This window comes from Homo sapiens, chromosome 2 (genome assembly GCF_000001405.40).
Source record: "Homo sapiens chromosome 2, GRCh38.p14 Primary Assembly".
Lineage (NCBI taxonomy): Eukaryota > Metazoa > Chordata > Mammalia > Primates > Hominidae > Homo > Homo sapiens.
The window spans coordinates 175,595,435-175,616,995 of NC_000002.12; the positions used below are offsets into that span (position 1 = coordinate 175,595,435).

At 39.1% G+C, this 21,561-nt stretch overlaps 1 long non-coding RNA gene across 1 annotated transcript in view; it reads right to left on the reverse strand.

Moving 5' to 3' along the window:
* The window catches only part of LOC107985962 (uncharacterized), a 243,604-nt gene continuing 222,043 nt past the window's right edge, over positions 1–21,561 (reverse strand). The window contains exon 4 of the long non-coding RNA XR_007087312.1: positions 1–21,561. This exon is cut by the window's right edge and continues 16,518 nt beyond it. This is a non-coding gene — a long non-coding RNA (uncharacterized LOC107985962).

Consider the following 21,561-nt stretch of genomic DNA (forward strand, 5'->3'; position numbering starts at 1 on the left):
CAATGTGTTTCTGTTGGCTTAAGTTCCAACAGCCAATTTTGGATCATGAGGTGACTTTGAGGATGGCAGCCATGAACTAGGATAGTGGAACGTAAAGACAGAATCCTGAGTCCCTTATGACACCGTGGAGCCATCATACCTGTCTTGTTATTACACGGGAACATCTGGACATCTTTTAGGTGTGGAAGAAATAAGCCTGTGTTGTGTTTAAGTCATTGTTGTCTGGTATATTTCAATTATATGCAACTAAGCCTAATCCTAACTGATACAAATGCCAAATTTAACATTGGTTGTCTCAGGAGAGTGAGACTGGAAGCAAGTATGGTGAAAAAGGAACTAATTTTTTTCTTTATGTTTTCTGATTGTTTTGTTTTGTTTTTAAAAATAAGTACAAATTACCCTTATAATTTAAAGAATGTATAAACAACTTTACACAATTTAAAAAGGCCTTGCAAATGCACATCATGTGATTGATATTAGGTTTGGGAACCTTCGCTCTCATTTTACAGATTAGAAAACTGAGGCCTAAAATATGAACTCACTGTTCATTCAGTGAGTCAGAAGTGGGATTAGAACTGGAAGCCAAATCCTTGAACTCCCAGTCCAGTGCTCTTCCTCTCATATCATAACAGAAAATATTTTAAAATATGAGGCCTTGAGAAATCCTGTGGTTGGCAGAAACAAAGTAGAAATAGCCAGGTTTGTGATAGGTTTCAGGCTTGCCTGTGATATCCAAGTGGCTTATTCAAAAGAGGTAAAAAGCAGGTTTGAATCTAGATGAACTAACAGTTTTGTTCTAGAACCTTTTCTATGTAAGACTTGGTATTGTTTTAAGTAACTAAAAGCTGTCTAGTAATTTAGATATGTGACAAGCTTCAAATTAGAAATCTTTTGTTTTCAGACTTATTTGTCGCTGCAAAAATATTAACATTCCAGCCAAAACCTGAAATGAGGACTTACTTCACTCTTCACTAAAGGAATACTTTATTATTTTATTTTATTTATTTTATTTTCAACTCTTAATTTAGATTCAGAGGGTACATGTGCAGGTTTGTTACATGGGTATATTGCATGATGCTGAGCTTTGGGGTATGAAACGGAGCATAATACACAACAGTTAGTTCAATCCTTGCCTCACTCTCTCTCTTCCCACCTAGTAGTCCCTAGTGTCTATTGTTGCCATTGTTATGCCCATGAGTATCTAGATTTAGCTCTCACTTATAAGTGAGAACATACAGTATTTGGTTTTCTGTTCCTGCGTTAATTTTTTTAGGATAATGGCCTATGGCTGCATCCATGTTGCTGCAAAAAATAGGATTTTGTTCTTTTTATGGCTGTGTAGTATTCTTTGGTGTATATGTATCACATTTTCTTTACCCAGTCCACCACTGATGGTCACCTAGGGTTCATTCTGTGTCTTTTTTATTGTGAATAGTGCTTTGAAGAACATGTGAGTGCATATGACTCTTTGGTCAATGATTTATTTTCTTTTGGATATGTACCCAGTAAGGTAGTTCTGTTTTAAGTTATTTGAGAAATCCCCAAATGGCTTTCCACAGTGGCTGAACTAATTTACATTCACACCAACAGTGTATAAGCCTTCCCTTTTTTCTGCAGCCTCGCCAACATCTGTTGGTTTTTGGCTTTTTAATAATAAGCATTTTTACTCGTGTGAGATGGTATCTTGTGGTTTTGATTTGCATTTCTCCAATAATTAGTGACGTGGAGCATTTTTATATATGTCTGTTAGTCACTTGTATATCTTCTTTTGAGAAGTGTCTGTTCACGTCTTGCTCACTTTTTAATGAAGCTATTTGTTTTTTGCTTGTTGAATTGTTTAAGTTCTGTATAGATTCTGAATATTAGGCCTTTTTCAGATGCATAGTTTGCAAATATTTTCTCCAATTGTTTAGGTTGTCTGTTTACTCTGTTGATAGTTTCTTTTGCTGTGAAGGTCTTTAGTTTAATTAGATCCTACTTACTGAATTTTTGTTTTTGTTGCAATTGCTTTTGAGGGCTTAGTCATAAATTCTTTTCCAAGGCCAACATCCAGAGTGGTGTTTCCTAGGTTTTCTTCTAGCATTCTTGTAGTTTGAGGTCTTACATTTAAATCTGTAATCCATCTTGAGTTAAATTTTGTATATACTGAAAGGTAGGAGTTCAGTTTCATTCTTATGCATATGGCTAGCCAGCTATCACAGCAACATTTATTAAATAGGGAGTTCTTTCTCCATTGTTTATTTTTGTTGACTTTGTCACAGATTAGATGGCTGTAGGTGTGCACCTTTATTTCTGGGTTCTTTATTCTGTTCCATTGATCTATGTGTCTGTTTTTGTACCAGTACCATGCTATTTTGGTTACTGTATTTTTTTTTTTTTTTTTTTTTGAGACAGAGTCTCACTCTGTCACCCAGGCTGGAGTGCAGTGGCACAATCTCGGCTCACTGCAACCTCCACCTCCTGGGTTCAAGCAATTCTCTGCCTCAGCCTTCCGAGTAGCTGGGATTACAGACGCCCGCCACCATGCCCGGCTAATTTTTTTGTATTTTTAGTAGAGATGGGGTTTCATCATCTTGGCCAGACTTGTCTTGAACTCCTGACCTCATGATCCACCCGCCTCAGCCTCTGAAAGTGCTGGGATTATAGGCGTGAGCCACTGTGCCTGGCCTACTATATTCTTATAGTATAGTTTGAAGTCAGGTGATGCCTCCCAGCTTTCTTCTTTTTGCTTAGGATTGCTTTGGGTATTTGAGCTCTTTTTTGGTTCCTTATGAATTTTTGAATAGCTTTTTCCAATTCTGTGAAAAATGACATTGGTACTTAGAAACAGCGTTGAATCTGTAGGTGTTGTGGGTGGTAGGGCCATTTTAACTATATGTTTCTTCCAATCCACGAGCATGGAATATTTTTGCATTTGTTTGTGTCATCTATGATTTCTTTTAGCAGTGTTTTGTAGTTCTTGACTAAAGGAATTTTTACGTTCTTAAATATGAACATACAGATAAAATTAGACATCTAAACAGTAGGATATAAATTAAACATCTAAACAGTAGGATATAAATTAAATATAAATTAAACAGAAGGTTTTTTTTTTAAGCACTTAAAAAAGAAAATGCAGTCTTCTCTCTTTCCCTAAGATAGAAGTTGGCTTAGGGTCATAATTTTTAACCATGACTTCCTACACATTTCTAAAGTTTTATTTTGTTCTCAGTAGATTTTAGCTTTCATAATATGATTCTTGTAATGTTCTTTTGTTCAACCATAGAAACTTAAGAAAAAGGTAAGACTATTTGAAGATTAAAATATAAAAATAAAGATAAAAATCATTTCAGTTCATTCAAATTCATTGCCTTTAATCACATGTTAATTACTATTTCCTACTGTGAACAAATGGATGGTCAGACTTCAGTACTACACTACTTCTTTACTAATTCAGCCATCTCTCATTGTCATGCCTCTTGTACATTTTTATCATAGAATTGATAAAAGGTTGTGTACAAACTCTTCAGCACTTTTTCACATCTTCAGCTCAAAATATATAAATAAAAGATAGGTTTATTTCCTAAATATTGACTTTTCCTAAGTTTTGCTTTCATATACAAAGATGCCAAGAATTGCATATGCATCATTACAAACCGTTTTTAATTGTTACTTTGTTGAAATCGAGCCCTCCTCATCTACTATCATGAAGAAAGAGCTTGCTTCATTATTTATTTTCTATCATTCTGGAAAATGGAACTAGCTAAACTTCATTGTTACCAATGCAAGATCAATATCATGTATTCTATAGAGTTAAAAAATATGTACTGTACTTATAATTCTTCTTATTTTCTCTAAAATGTAATCAGCTTCTTAATAAACTAAGAAGCTTGGACCATTAAGATCTGAGTGTTTGGTGACACTTCAACATTTCAGGGAACACGTGTTGCTAATGGCCTTTCTACTCATCTCCGTTCACTCACATGCATACCTGTGGACAGAGCACATATCGAATCTGAGTACCAAACACCAGAGCCAATTTACAGCAGGTGATAAGGAAGCAGCCTTACCTCTAGGAGCAGTTCATTTTTCAGTGCAAAGGCAAAGTGTTTAGTAGGTATTTTATAGGTCATATATCCAATACACCATAAGACATCTGTAGTTGCTCAAACTAAAAGTCCTTCACTAGAGATGAATTCACATTGTGTGTGTGTGTGTGTGTGTGTGTGTGTGTGCGCATGTGTATGTGCACAAAAGAGTTCTCAGCAGAATCTTCTTTGGGAATTTTACAGGAAATTGTTTTGGTGGCTAGCTTTGCACACACTATGTGATGTTCACGGGAGCAACATACTAGCTGTTTTTGGTGCTGAGTTCTGGCCCAAACGTGTAACCTGTGTGATCTTGTCCCATTCTCTTCACCTCTCTGGCCTCGAGTTTCTCACGTTTCGAATTGGAATGGCAACACATCCTTCACATAGCTCATAGGATTGTTTGGCAGTCCGAATAAATGTGATCAAGTCCTCTAAAAATTAGATAGCACTATGAAATCTGATGTGCTCTTATCACTCCTTCTTCAAGGACAGACTTAGCAAGAGAAAGTAAACTCCTTGTCCATTGCTTGACAAGATCACCATATAACTATTTCAGAGTAATCTCTTAAGCAAGGAGGGTGAGTCATAAAACAAAAGGTTTTCATTAAATCATATTTGGGAAAATAAAACAGGCCCATAATTTTATAGCCTCCCTCTGTGCCAAAGACACTGTTTCCACAGACAGCAGAAAAGAATGAAAAGAATGTGAGTGGCCCTGGCAAGCCTTGGTCACCATCCCAACAGGCCCTGAGAGGCTGTCCCAGACCCTGGGTGGAATGTGTCACTGCTCTCCCTAGCCCACGTAGTGAATCGCCACATTGTATAGTGTTCAACAGTTTTTACATTAATAAAATAAAAATTAAGTTTCCTGGGCTTGTATGGTTTATCACAGTAAGTCTGTGTTAATATTTCCTAATCATAGTGACCTCAGCCTGCCAGAATGCACAGGCCCCTAATCCTCACTGTAATGTTTTCTCATTAGCTACGCAGCATTGCCACACCAGTGGCAGCGACCAAGCACTGCCTCAGGCACCACTGGAATTAATTACTTAGAAGAAACACTGCTGTTTTGAATTGTCATCTTGAATTTATCACTTGCCACTTAATGTAACTCATCTGACCTAATACCTCCATTGTGTCACCAGAGGCCTTGGCATGGGTTTCACCAGGGTAATAGCAGTGGGGTTCTGTATACCTAATGTGGCTGAGACGCCAAACACACAGCTGCTGGAGGCCTGGTTAAAATCCTACCCTGGAGGCGATGCATGCTAACAATGCCCCTAGCAAATTGCAGATTACCCATACGTCATGTTCCATCTGAAGCTAAGAGTGATTCAAAGGTAGGCCCAATACATCTCATTTCTGCTGCTTGGAGAAGATAATCTTTCATTTCTTTGGATGTAACAGCCCTCCCCATTTGTTTCTCTCTTGCTTTGCTTTTGAACATAATGAAACTGGCTATTCATGTATGGAAGGAAAAGTGGCTCTGGGGGGACCTGCAGTGCTAGGTCTGGGGCCTTTTTCTTATAAATTCTGAAGAAATTGCTCATTAAATTACTCACACAAAGAAATACAATTTCACCATAGGTTATGTTACCCCAGGAACTGGGACAAAATTGTAACCCAAGTTGGAATCTGTGCTGTACTTTTGCAGGGCTACATTTTGTCCTGCACTTATGAGGTTGATTCTGCATTAGCTATTGAAAAATGCACATTTAATAAGGGAATTCATGATTTGGTTATTTTCATTAAGCCTGAGAAATTATTTCAGTATGAAAAACAAGCTTTGACACACACTCTGAACAATAGTCTAATCAAATTTTTCATCTACGAAAACCACACACTTGAAACCAACATTTTTCAAATTTTCTGCCCGTTTTGGATTTACCCAAATGTAATTATTTCCATTGAAAATTTAGTCTTCTAGTTCTGCTATAGCTTTTATTTCAAAACATGATATATACATGCATGCATGCAGTATGTGCATATGTACGTTTAAATGCTTAGCTTCTAGAAGCTTATAGACATAATACCATAATGTAAGACCAAAGCATGAAAATCCTACTGATGAGATAATAAATAAAATAGATTTACTTTAATAATGACAATTCCCAGTGTATTTCATAGATAAAAACATTTCCTTTGGTTACCACACTCTATACCATGCATAGTAAACTTTGGGAGATGTATAATGCAATATAAACATTAATAGTTACACAATTGTGTTGTTTTAGAAAGACTATTTATAGAGAAAATACAAAATGCCTCCCCATAGTATACTTAGACCTAAGCCACCATAATCTTCCTGCTCATACAGCAGGAAATCTAATACACCAGTTCAATAAACCTATAGGAAACAAAGGTTTTATGTAGCATTAAGTGTCACAATATTAAAATGCCCATATTACTTTCAATTGCTCTTATAAGCCTCTTTTTAACCATCCAGAAAGTTGAATGCCATTATGAGAAGAATATTGTCTTATGTAGTAAAGGACAAAGAAGGTGAAATAAAAACATTACTCCTTTACCTGTGTTTATCTCTGATCTTAATAGCATTGGTGCTTTTACACAAAAGGCTCTCTTCTTCAAACTCTCCTATTTCATACCTTTTTGTGTTGTTAGATTATGTTCTGTCAAAGGTGACATAACATTTAAAAGGGTGTCAAAAAGCCTTTACTGTAATGGCAGATCAGCCACATAACATCTTTGGGGGTAGGTTTCCTTTCCTGTAAATGTAGTATTGTGTGCTATGAGCTCTTGAGACTATAATTAGAAACCGTAAAGCTCTTTCAAAATACCAAGTCCTTCATTCCAAGAATGCTCATTACAAATGGTAATATAGCAACAACAAAGATCACCACCCCCAGAAGTGTAAGTTTCCCCCAAACAGAGACAGTCGTTTTTGTGAGTTTTGCAGAGTGTCTAGCACTCTGTAGCTGCCTAATTAATACCTAATGACAATGATGAACCACTTGTGATATTCAGCTAACTAACTGGGGTCTTATAGTACCTTGAAAGTTTCAACTTAATGGCCATTAAAATATAGTATCTTGTATTTTCTATTACACCTGCCAACTCCCCAAACTTTCTGCAAACAGAAATTCATTAACTGAAATTCTTTAATGAAATATTAATAGTACAAAAGTACATTTTGAAGACTTATGAAATACCCAGGGTCTTTTTGCTTAGGATTGTCTTGGCTATATGGGCTCTTTTTTGGTTCCATATGAAATTTAAAGTAGTTCTTTCTAATTCTGTGAAGAAAGTCAATGGTAGCTTGATGGGAATGGCATTGAATCTATAAATTAATTTGGGCAGTATGGCCATTTTCACAATAATCATTCTTCCTATCCATGAGCATGGAATGTTTTTCCATTTGTTTGTGTCCTCTCTTGTTTCCTTGAGCAGTGGTTAGTAGTTCTCCTTGAAGAGGTCCTTCACATCCCTTGTAAGTTGTATCCAAAGCTGGAGGCATCACACTACCTGACTTCAAACTATACTACAAGTCTACAGTAACCAAAACCGCATGGTACTGGTTCTAAAACAGATACATAGACCAATGGAACAGAACAGAGGCCTCAGAAATAACACCACATATCTACAACCACCTGATCTTTGACAAACCTGACAAAAATAAGCAATGGGGAAAGAATTCCCTATTTAATAAATGGTGTTGGGAAAACTGGCTAGCCATATGCAGAAAACTGAAACTGGACCCCTTCCTTACACCTTATAAAAAAATTAACTTAAGATGGATTAAAGATTTATACGTAAGACCTAAAGCCATAAAAAGCATAGAAGAAAACCTAGGCAATATCATTCAGGACATAGGCATGGGCAAAGACTTGATGACTAAAACAACCAAAGCAATGGAAACAAAAGCCAAAATTGACAAATGGGATCTAATTAAGCTAAAGAGCTTCTGCACAGCAAAAGAAACTATCATCAGAGTGAACAGGCAACCTACAGAATGGGAGAAAATTTTTGGAATCTATCCATCTGACAAAGGGCTAATATCCAGCATCTACAAGGAACTTAAACAAATTTACAAGAAAAAAACCACCCCATCAAAAAGTGGGTGAAGGATATGAACAGATACTCCTCAAAAGAAGACATTTATGTGGCCAACAAACATATGAAAAAAAAGATCATCATCACTGGTCATTAGAGAACTGCAAATCAAAACCACAATGAGATACCATCTCATGCCAGTTAGAATGGCAATCATTAAAAAGTCAGGAAACAACAGATGCTGGAGATGTGAAGAAATAGAAATGCTTTTACACTGTTAGTGGGAGTGTAAATTAGTTCAACCATTGTGGAAAACAGTGTGGAGATTCCTCAAGGATCTAGAACTAGAAACACCATTTGACCCAGCAATCCCATTACTGGGTATATACCCAAAGGATTATAAATCATTCTACTATAAAGTCACATGCACATGTATGTTTATTGCAGCACTATTCACAATAGCAAAGACTTGAAACCAACCCAAATGTCCATCAATGATAGACTGGATAAAGAAAATGTGGCCCTTATACACCATGGAATACTATGCAGCCATAAAAAGGAATGAGTTCATGTCCTTTGCAGGGACATGGATGAAGCAGGAAACCATCATTCTCAGCAAACTAACACAAGAACAGAAAGCCAAACACTGCATGTTCTCACTCATAAGTGGGAGTTGAACAATGAGAACATATGGGCACAGGGAGGGGAACATCACACACCAGGGCCTGTCAGGGGTGGGGAGCAAGGGGAGGGATAGCATTAGGAGAAATACCTAATGTAGATGACGGGTTGATGAGTACAGCAAACCACAATGGCACATGTATACCTATGTAACAAACCTGCAAGTTCTGCACATGTATCCCAGAACTTAAAGTATTAAAAAAAAAAGAAAAGAAAAGAAATACCCAGGGTCAATTTAAGCAAAATTGTCTTTTAAGTGTCTTTAAGCGAAAATCCCTCCCTTTTTATTGCTTGGGCAAGCTCAGTCAAGGGAGCCTAACAATTGTGAACTGGAGTTAGTGGATCCAAATCCACTGGGCTCCCTTTTGCATTGCTCAATGTGAGGGTGAGCTGAAAGTATTTTTAATAAACATACAACCTCTCAAGGTTGGGTGAACTATCAGACTATAGATACTTTATGATATTCACACATAAAGAAGCATAATGTTGTAACACATAGAGGACTGGGGTAGTTTGCATCCAGGTTTTGGCAATATTCTTCTTCCCCTGGGCAAATAGTCCAAAGAGGGCGTCGGTCTATGGGGAGCCCTTGCTGCAATCTCTTACAGTAAACCGTGTAAGCTGGATTATCTTTTTTCCACCCTTCTGGAATATCCAAACTGTTAACTCATGGTCCCACACCCATATAAACCCTCTTCAGGAAGGCCTCAATGCAGAAGCTCTGTGAAATCTTTTGCTAATCTTTAGATATTTTTAAATGACTTAAAATGAAATGTTTTAAAATCCTGACTGTTAGCATTAAAAATATACCAGTGCATGCTGGGAATCGATGACATTTAGTGCTGCTGCCTTGTAAAAAACCAAATCCTAAATGGTTCGTCATAATGTTATTGGCAGATGTGGTTTTATACTTTTAAATTCCTTGGAGCTGCTGAAAAAAAAAAAAAGAACATATAGATATGCCTATGCAGATGAAATGACATCATAAAATCCAGTTACCTGACTGTAAAGTAAGGGGACTCTCTGTGGCTGAATTGCTTGTTAATGAAAAAGAGAACCAAAGCAAAGGAGAAAGTGCATCATTTGCAATTGAATGTTTTCAATTACTTTTTATCGTTGTCGGGCATTCTCATCACAACATATATTTTGGGATGAAAGATTATTTTACATTCTAAATGAAAGCAATGCACATGCAACATTTACTTTGCAAATGGAGACCCTGCTGCCTCTCGCCACTCTACTAAAATATGGCAAATTTACACACAGTTACGTAAATGATTTTTTGGGTCAAATTTTTCTCTTTCATCTTAATGTCTAATTTTGTCACAATTAATTGTGTTAACCACATCATGCATGGACTGAATACCCCTATGTAACACTTGTCACATTGGAATTTAACATCAAATATACTCAGTTTCCCCCTGGACTGGCAATACAATTATAGGAGATTCACATTTTTCATTTCTTTTTAAAAAAAGACAACTGCGAAACAATCGTACGTTGTAGCTTAAGGACCAAAGGCAAAGAAGCTTTGCCCTCTAATGGAAACTGCAATCGCATTGTAAACAACCCTAATGTAAATAATTGTTCCAACTGGAACTTGCTAGGGCAGGAATTAGGCACTGAGGGACACAGCTCAGGCTGTTTGGCATGAGGGTTACTGAGCATATATCCCTGAGCATACACCTTTGCCTTGTCCTGGTCTCTAAGGAACAGCATAGACCCCCCTCCACCTCCCACCTTGCCCCCTTGATTCATTCGTAATTTCTTATTTGGCAATAGGAAGAGGGAAATTTCAAACAAAATATTTTTCACCACCTGGAAAACAATCTACCTGAAAGCAGATTCCTAGTGCTCATTACTGCGAGGCTGGGCTCATCGCAGCCATTGTCATGCAAGCACAGTTGTAAGTAATAATGTGGCCTTTAATGACGGAATGATGGACCTGCCAAACACTTGCTCCTGCCATGGACTGCTTGCATTTCCCTGCTGGAGAGCACAGAGATGCCCATCTGGGAGTTATTAACATATCCTCGTCAATTCAGAACCGACTTTAACATAATCCATATTTGTTGGAGAAAGTCCAACATCAGCTTGAGAACAGCAGTCACGTGCCTCAATGACACATTTCAAACAGCACACACCGAGCATGCTTGGGCAGCTAAGCAATTCAGAAATGCAAATAGCTGAAGCACTCTCCTGACTAGATAAAAAGGACAAATCCCTTTTGGCAAGAGACTGGATAGCCTCTTAATGTTGCAGGAAAACAACCAAACTGGGAAAGGTACAAATTCCAGAAGCATCAGTTTGGGTTTGGTGAGTCACCAGGAAGGCATCTCTTTTTTGGTTTATTCCAATCATGTTGGTACAATCAATCTCGGGTCGAACTTTGGACTTCAGCTGTTGTCAGGCAGAGCTGTTTGTCTGGGATTCAGGAATACAGATGCTCTTAAACCAACAATGTTGCACGTTGTACGCTTGCTTGTTGACATATGTACAGTATAAGCACACATCTCTCCCTTTAAAACACAACAAAGAGCTATCAGTTCCAATTCAACATCATCTTAGTTCTCGTTCTGAATGGGTTACCTAATGTGAATAAATCTGTGGAAAAAGCTAGATTGGTTATGGTCCTTAATATGAGTCCTCATAAAATTAATTTGTATCAAAATATCATGTAAAGTCTGTGGAAGTTATCTCCAAATTAGGCACTGGTTTTTGTGAGTATAGAATATGTGCCTGGATACTTTTTGAATTATTTTAACGTGCTGAAAATACATTTCATCAACTAAATGCCTTTGGTTGATAGATACTATTGGTGTTATCTGTACCTTGTAGTGAAATAAATTAAGAAATAAGGGGTAAAAAGCACTTCCTTGAGGCCACCACCCATTTCTATTGAGGTGGATTTTGGTAAAATTGCAATAAAATCCTATTTCAGATTACGTAAACCAAAGCCAAATGCAAATTCTTCCTTCAAATATTTAAATAGATGCACAGGGCTAGATCACTAGATAATAGCATTGTACCACTATTAGATTTTCTTCATTTGATAATCATATTGTGGTTATGCAAGAGAATGTTTTTGTTCTTAAGAAATACATGTTGAAAGTATCTAGGAATAAGGGGTTATGATATCTGCAATGTTCTCAAATAGTTCAGCAAGATAAAAATAATGAAAATACATACACAAAGAGAAGACAAATGTGGCAAAATGTTTACAACTGATCAACATAGGCAAGGGCTGTATGTGTGTTCCTTGTGCCATTGTGGCAATTTTCTAGTAGGTTTGAAATTTTTCAAAATAAAAAATCAGAAATAAAATCAATTAGACTCACAGCTAATAATATGGACTTCTTAAAAATAAAATTCACTGTTTGGAAACTTTCTCTTATTCACTGTTCTTTGCTTAATGATAACATTTTCTTTATGTTCTTTACTTAATGATAACATTTTTAATAAGGTGGGGAATGACCTGGAAGAAGAGGAAGACAGGAAGTGAGAAATAGCTTACCAAGGGACAGGAAAATGAGGCAGAGAGACAAAAAAGGTGGGAAAAGTGAGATAGAATAGGAGAGAAGAAAATACCAAAGGGAGGACAAAGCGCACCTCAGTGCAGTTCTGAGCCAGAACATCTGGGGCAACCAGGGGTAATGCTCCAAGGCTGGGAAGAAGACGGGGCAGAGATCTTACCCACATGGTAGGGACCATGCAAAAATGTTCACTCTTCCTGCAAGCAGAAGTGGCTTGGGCAGCACAGCTTCTAATGGTAGCATGCAATTTCTTCTAGTAGAAAATATAATTCAGCCAAAAGGCAAGGTAGAGGCTAGATTGAGGGTTTCACCATAGGACTGAGCACAATGCTGTGGAGGGAAGCCACCCACACCCCTCCCAGGCATGGGAACTGATCCGACCCTATTAGGATAAGAAGAGTTGGGCTGGGGGAGGTTAGTGGGGATGGAGATGGGAGGTGAGTATCTTTAGCTGAATTCTACCTTTGTGGTGCTATAAAAGTTTTGACTGTAAATATAAACATTAAGAAATAGAAAATAATTTGCCTTTATTAGAATATGTGTATAATTTAAAACATTTTTTAAGTTTATTTTTGTAGAGACAAGGTCTCAAACTCCTGTAATTTTGTAGAGACAGGTCTCAAGTAATTTTCCTGTCTCAGGCTCCCAAAATGCTGGGATTACAGGTGTGAGCCTCTGCACTTGGTGAGGTATGTAGTTTTTTGTTTGTTTTTTGTTTGTTTGTTTGTTTGAGATGGAGTCTCACTCTGTCACCCAGGCTGGAGTGCAGTGGCGTGATCTCGGCTCACTGCAAGGTCCGCCTCCTGGGTTCACACCATTCTCCTGCCTCAGCCTCCCGAGTAGCTGGGACTACAGGCACCCGCCACCACACCCGGCTAATTTTTTTGTATTTTTAGTAGTGACGGGTTTCACCGTGTTAGCCAGGATGGTCCCGATCTCCTGACCTCGTGATCCACCCGTCTCAGCCTCCCAAAGTGCTGGGATTACACGCATGAGTCACTGTGCCCCGCCCAGGTATGTAGTTTTTAAATCATTCATGTGAGCTGCAGAAAATCATGGCAGTGACAGAGGTCACTGCAGTTGTTCAGCCTAGGTTATCAATTGAGAAAGGCCCAAAAAAATTGCCTGTAAGAGTGAGTAGACATCAGTCCAAGAAGAGATAGGGACATAGAAACCTGGGGGAAGAAAAGGGCAGGGACAGATGGGGAGCATGCTGGCAAGAGGTCAGACATGTGGGGGCCATCAGCCAGCTGTGGGCAACCCTTTCCATAGCATGGCCATGTTTAATTGGGTAGGTCACTGCAGCAAGCCACCCCAAAACAGAGTAGCTTGGAGGATCTCTTTCACCTCAGAATTCCAGGAGGAACCTCTCCTCTGTTGGCTCATCAGCCCCAGAGCCCAGAAATTTCTATGAACTGATCCCAATAAAGCCAAGTAGGCCAACACGTGCCCCCGGCCCCCACCTCGGTCTCAACATACAATACCTTCAGGCAGGCAGAAGTTTCAGGAAGCTGCTTGCCTTTGTCTTATTTGTCTTAGTCTTCCCACAGCTACTAAATAGTTTAGAGCAATACCGTTTGTTCCCAAGGAAAGAAAGAATCTAAAATAAAGGTTTAAAATTCACTGTCAAGGCCGAGTAACCAGTGTTAAACAGAAGACCCCAGGAGTTCTCAGACCCACAAGCAGAAGAGACGCTGGGTTTGGGTTCCTTCCCTGCCTTCGGCCCAGCTTCCTTTGTTCCTACTGTCAACCTCATGATGTGCTTGTGTGACATCTTCTGGTTTTCTGCCCCCTTCATTACTGCCCTTGAGATTCCCTCAAATCTGATTTTCCTTTATAGAAAAATATCAGGGGATGGTGGGGATGATTTGTTCTGGGCCCTGCAACTGCCCTGGAGATGTCTCTGGACAGAGGCTCAGGGGTCAGGCCCGGAGCTGTTTCCTCTGTGTTTTTCCCCCATGGCGTTCAGGACATTTGGCTTCTTTGCAAGGAGCATTCAGTAGGACGGAGACAGTGTGGGTTCCACGTGGGCTCTAAGGAAAATGCCACATAACTAATAGAAAAGCTTAGCGTGAAAACTGACCGTAGCACATGAAAAGTTGTATCCTGGGGAAATTGTGTTTGTTCTTTTAAGTATGGCAACTATTCAGCCTAGGGCAGCAAATGAGGTGCTTGCTCCTTCATGCAATGGAGAGGTTTGCTTGGTTCACACTGTGAGGCAAATGTATGTAGAATATTGCCAATTCAAGGTAAATTGCCACCTCATTAGGGTTATTTGGTATTTTTTTTTCAAACCTGAATTTCTCACAAACCCAGAGGAGGAAATACATTCACTTGCCTGGAGTGAGGAGGGATATCAGTGCCACCTCTCCTCTACTTGCCGAGGTTTCTGGGCTCAAGCACCACACCCTGCTTTGACTGGATTTCCCATCGTGGTCTATGGGAGGCTTAATCCTGTGAACATCTCCTAACACCTGTGCAGAGGGCACTCTCATTTATAGGTTGGCAGGGTTGAGAAAACCCTACATCTAGAAGAGCCACACGCAGCATACATCTTGGTTTCAGCCTATTTCTCTCATGACTCCTCACCTGGAGTCTTGAGAGAGTGAGAACTGGGAGGAAGGTGGATAGTTAGAAAACATCTAGAGCATGGAGTTCTGCTTGATAGATCAGAGTAATCCAGACAATGTGGACGTTCTGACAGGGAGTGGAAAATGGGCACTGAAGGCTTTCTGTGAGGATGTATCCATTGCTCATTTCCAGCCCTGCAGAGCCACAGCCTGGCAATTTCTGGGGCCAGCCTCAGATCCTGCTCTCAGCAGGATGCAGACACTGTATATTGACCCACATGTCAGCCATGTTTTGGAACAACCTAGGGTGTCTCAACTGTTTTGAGGTGGTATTGTCTGGAAAAAGTCAGATATAGGCCATTTAATAGGGCAAGTTACTTTCATGTTCAAGATACGTTGTTTTAGTGCTTTGTGTGCACTCCAGCTATAACAATAGGGTGCCATAAGGTCAAAGAAGTAAGACATAGATTTCTAAGGTATGGCTCCACTCCTGCAGCTTCAAGCCTATGGGAGTAACCGTTTCTCTTCTTGCAATAACTGGATTTCTCACTGGAATGAAGAGTTGTGATTCACAACTTCTGTAGCTGTGGTCTCTTCCTTTAGGGCTAAGGTCACACCAAATGACAGGAAGATGCCGCTTCCCCTGTTGTAGTCACTGAATCTGCTGCTTCTCTCTCTCCTCTCTGGAGGAACAGATGGCAACCCCTTCTCCCTGTTTTTGCCTTCATGTGTGATAGAGATAGTCAGTCCCCCCTGTATCTGTCTAAATAGGCCAGAGCACTGGCTGTCACACTTAGCCCAATTTAGAATCTCTCTTGGTTTAAGAAGGAAGGACTTGTTAAACCACTGATTGCTGGGTGCTGCTCATGTTTCTAATTCAGTAAGTTCAGGTTGAGGCTGAGCATTTGCATTCTAACCAATTCCCTAGTGATGCTGATGCTAATGGTTTCGGAATTGCACTTTGAGAATCACTGAGTTCGGTTATGCTGCAGTAACAAATGTCCCCAAATCTCAGTGGCTTCCGATCACAGAGCTCTATTTTCCACTGGTGTCTCATATCTGTGATAGGTTAGTGGCAGCTGTGCTTCACGTCATCATATCCAGGACCCGAGTGGCCGAACAGCCTCTGACATGTTGCCAATCTCAGGGCATGGGAGAAAGAGGACATGGTAAACCATCACTCAGCTCTTAAAGCTTTGCCTTATATCTCATTGTCTAAAGCAAATCACAGGGCCGAATATGACGTTAGTGGCAAATGAGGGGCCAAACATTTTTGTGAGAATTGTACAGTCTACGGCATCCTCCCTCATATCATTTGTCCCATTCTACCATTGTAAATGAGCTCAGGTTTTGACTGAACAAATGGCTTCCCAGAACAAAGATTGTTTTTTTTCAGACTCTCCTGCAGCTAGGTATGGCTGTGTGAGTTCTGGCCAATGGGTTGTAAATAGAAGGTTGTATAGTTGTTCCAGAAACCTTCCTGAGAGGACAGCACACATGTGCCCTTTTTCTCTTCCCCTCTTCCTCTCTTTAATTGCTTTTTTCATCCTATTCCTTAGCATGCAGATGCTAGCATTTTGAAGCATGAGGTGGTCAAAACTACATGTCTCAGCCTCACAGAAAAGAAACAAGGTGTGTGGAACACCATATCACCATATCAGCCCCAGACCACCTACCTGCATTTCTACATGAGAGAGAAATAAAATTCAATCTCGTCTAAACCACTGTTATCTTGGGTTCTTTGTCACTCACATCTGAAGGTAATTCTAAGTAATGCACCTGCAGAAAGGTTTTCTTTTGAAATTTGCTCACTTCTGTCTGCAGTGTCTTGTGTTCCACTCATCCATCGAGTGTTTTCTGAGCTTCTGAGCTTATTTCTTCCCTTCTTTATTAACAATGCAGTGATAATGTCTACAGAAGGAAGTTAAATACAGCTTTGTTCTTGCTAGGAATATAAACTAAGATTGTAGATGCATGGAGTCTGACAGTGGGAAATATGACAAAGAAAAGGAAAAGCTTGTCTGTTTAGAACTTTCCTAAGGAGCTTCCAAAACTGTCTTCATCTCATCGCAAGAAAGCGGACAATGCTATTCTTTATTGCTAACCCTCCCTTGCAATGTGGAAGTCTTTCTGATGTCAGGGCTTAAAGTGACTTGCATGCCACATGACATGTCGTCTGACCACAGGATAAACAACCACGGCATGCATGTTGAAAGATGGCTGTTAGAGGCCTGTGGTCAGCGTGTCTCTCTCCTCTGTCTTTACTATTAACTCCTCACCTCCATCTCTGTTTCTCTTTGCCAGTCTTTTCGCACTGTGCCTGCTTTTACCTTTTTCACAGTTAAATGTCTGTATGTCTGTATCTCTCCACAGATAGAGGGAGCAGCTGGAGAAGAGGAAAGGGAAGAGTGTTAACAAAACTCAAAAGGCTGAAAAGGGGGAGTGGACTCAAGTGGGAGAAGACCAGCCCCAGGGCTGCAGACTCTTGTTTTGTTTTTGAGACGGAGTCTCGCTCTGTTGCCCAGGCTGGAGTGCAGTGGCGCTATCTCGGCTCACTGTAAGCTCTGCCTCCCGGGTTTACGCCATTCTCCTGCCTCAGCCTCCCGTAGTTGGGACTACAGGCGCCTGCCACCATGCCCAGCTAATTTTTTGTATTTTTAGTAGAGACGGGGTTCCACCATGTTAGCCAGGATGGTCTCGATCTCCTGTCCTCGTGATCCACCCACCTCGGCCTCCCAAAGTGCTGGGATTACAGGCGTGAGCCACCGTGCCCGGCCCAGCAGGCTCTTCTTAGGTAGATCAGGGCCATGCATGTTCAAGGCCTCTCTAGGTCACAATACACAGCTTAACAGGGTAATTCACTGTGTCCCATCAATGCACTGGAATAAGTTATCACTTCAGCCACACAAATGCAGTTTGTAAACTACAAATATCTATGTTTACTTTCAAGAGTGTTTCTTTTCTGATGGAGAGCCATTTGTTGGGGGATCTTTCATATTCATAATCTATTGTACTAGACATCATCAGTCATCTAAAGAAACAGAATGTCCCTGGATGACAATGGCTGTATTTCTTAAAAATAAACTAACAGTATCCCAGAACTTAAAGTATATATATATATATATATATATATATACAACAACAACAACAAAACTCATTTTCATAGTCAAATAGGTTTGAGAGCCACTGCATCCAATGTGCTCCAAAAAATTCACAATGTTTGTTGGCATACTAAAGTCTCTGAGAATTTTTCGAGTAAAGTAGCCTATTTATTCCTTTATATACAAACTTACTGAAGCATAGAATTATTTTTTAGTACAATATCTACTAACATCTTCTGGAACTTCTCCTTGGAACACAGCTTGGGAAACAGTCTTAAAAGAATAAAAACTATTACATACTACGTGCCACATTATTATTTTTAACTATTTTTAAATTTTAAATATTTAATTGACAAGTAAAAATCGTATATGTTCAAAGAGTACAATGTGATGATTTGATATATGTGTAATAATTGCCACAATCAAATTGGTTAACACCTCCACCACTACTCATGCTGTCCATTAGCTCCATAGAACTTGGTCATGTTATAACTGAAAGTTTGTACACTTTGATCAGTGTCTCCCCATTTCCCCCACCCTGCAGCCCCTGGCAGCCACCATTTTACTCTGTTTCTATGATTTTGGCTTTTCTAGATTCCACATGTAAGATCATGTAATCATGTCTTTCTGCATTGGCTTATTTGACTTAGCATTACCACATTAGTTTTTGTAAGAGAAGTTACAGCAAACCAAAATTTTGTGAATATTCATAACCTATTGACATTTCAGTGGGACCACATAAGAATTAAAATATAGTTTAGACATTCCAGTGGTACAAAACTCACAATTTTTGATTTGTGCCAGCTGCCAGAATCCCAGGGCAGTACTGCAAGAGTATTTACTTTAGAAGTAAGCTAAATAAACTGATATAGAGAATTAACATGATTAGAGATTGATAATAAGGGAATAAAGAATCTAGATATGGACGAGACCATGACAAGGAGGGGTGATTTAGACCAATGTATGAAAAAAACAAAACCAGGATAAGTTTGGAAGGATACAATTCACCTTAAGATGACATTAACTTAAGACTTTTAGCCCTGCATCTCTCTCTGCCCAGAGGCTTTGGGAACTAGGTAGAGCTTGGGCTTTAGCATCCATTCATCCTCATCAATCCTTGCTTTTATTACTATTACACCATTTCCTATAGTGCATTGTAGTAATGACTTTTTGGTAGTTTACCTTATTATTCTGTGAGATCCCTAAGGGCAAGTGTTGTAACTTACAGATCTCACTATTTCCAATCTAGGCATTCAATAGTAATTTAACAAGTACTCGAGGTCACTCTGCGTGGGGGTTCTCTCGGATGGTGATTTGAAAAACATTGCACCCAATCCAGGGTTTTAAGCCCCTGATCTACATGTTAGAACCACCTGGGGAGGTTTGAAAACATACCTGTATAAAATCAGAGCCCCACATCTGAGATTCTAATTTACTTTTTTCAGGTGGGCCTGGGATCTCAATATTTAAAAAATATCATCACTGGTGATTCTACCATACAGCCAGGGTTGAGGTTGAGAACACCTGTGCTAACAGTCTGTATGTTGTTTAAATATGTCTATTTAAGGATATTAATATACAGCTGAAATGAATGCCTTTTGAAATAGATTATATAAATAAGGATTCCAAAGACTTAATTTTTATTTAAGTTAATCAAAAGTTAGAAAAGATAAATATAATCCAGGTATATAGTGGTCAAGTGGCCATTCCTCTTGCATTAGTTTGACTTAAAAACTTATGAGACAAGTGTCAATTGGGGAGCCCCACCAAACATCAGCATGCCTCCATCAGGAAAGAGAAAGCAGTTGATTGGCAGTGACGTTTGCAATGTGCCTATTATTTGGTGCATGCAGTTCTTGGATTATTTTCTGAAGTCCAAGGCATGTTAACTTCTGTGAGCTTTTTAGGCATGCATTTACATGTTGAACAATGAAAAAAAGTACTTATGTTTTTAATGAAAAGAAGCAAGCAAATTAATCCCATTGATATAGTTTGGATCTGTGTCCCCACCCAAATCTCATACAGAATTGTAATCCCCAGTGTTGGATGTGGGGTCTGATGGGAGGTGACTGGATCATGGGGGTGGCTTTCTCATGAATGGCTTAGCACTATCCTCTTGGTGCTGTTCTTGTGATAGTGAGTGAATTCTTGTGAGATCTGGTTGTTTAAAAGTGTGTGGCACCTCCACCTTTGAGGTCTCTCTTGCTCTTACTCTGGCCATGTGAGGAGTCTGCTCCCCCTTCACCTCTGGCACCCCCTTTGCCTTCTGCCATGGTTGTAAATTTCCTGAGGTCTCCCCAGGAGCTGAGCAGATGCCAGCATCATGCTTCCTATACACCCTGCAGTATCATGAGCCAATTAAACCTCTTTTCTTTATAAATTACCCAGTCTCAGGTATTTCTTTATAGCAATGTGAGAACAGACAAATACACCCATCAAGACCCCAATCTTTGCATAAATCTGTAGACCAAAGTTCTAAAAATGGCATTTTTTATTTTGTAGTCTTCCAAAAATTTCAGTCCAAACAGACTAAAGTAAAACATGAAGTGAATCATCAGGATAAAAGGGCAAAATTGTTAAGGAGAAACAGATTTTGTTTTAAAGCCAATAAGAAATAGCCTACTCTTAAAAAAATTAAGACTCATGGTAGGCAGCAAGTAATATGTGTGAGGTGGACAATATTACTCATCAAATTGAGCCATTCTGGGTACCTAATGACAGTGAAAACTATCAGTGTATAACAGCTAAAGAACAAGTCCTTTATTGAGATTTGTCAGGAAAGAAAATGATGTGATTACAAAAATATGGAAATGAATTTTTCCCATTGTGAGTTTCTTGTGAGTTTCCTTAAAAATGTGGGTATTAAATGAGATACGAGCCTATCTTCAACAAGATGACAATTTGGCTCAAATCTGAAAGATTAAACACATGCTCTTTTTTTATAATATGTAGGAAACTAGCTCCTGAATTGAGTCTGGTAACTGCTATTCTTTGGAATCATGAATGGAATCATTTCCAAACTTTAAAATCAAGCACCTTTTCTCAAAGACCTGATTAAACCTTGGATTTTACATTGGTCATTTTGTTAAAAGCCCACATGGCCATCTCCTGAAGTTCTTTGTCTTTTTTCCCCCAAACTGGCCAGCAAATATCTCTTTTATTTTATTTTTCTTTTCAAATTTTATATATTTATGGGGTACACAATGTGATTTTTGATATGCGTAGACATTTTAGAATGATTAAATCAAGCTAATTAACATACTTATCACCTCACCTTCTTACCATTTTTTTGTGTTGTGGATATTTAAAATCTACTTTTAGCAACTTTTAAGTATACAAGGCATTATTATTAACTATAGTCACCATGCTACACAACAGATCTCCAAAACTTATTTCTTTTGTCCAACTGAAACTTTGTACCCTTTGACCAGCATCTGTCCAACCATACTCACTCCAGACCCCAGTAGACACCATTCTACTCTCTACTACTAAGTGGTTGACATTTTTGGATTCCACATGTAAATGTGATCATGCAGTATTTTTCTTTCTGTGCCTGGCTGATTTCACTTAGCATAATGCCTTCCAGGTTCATACA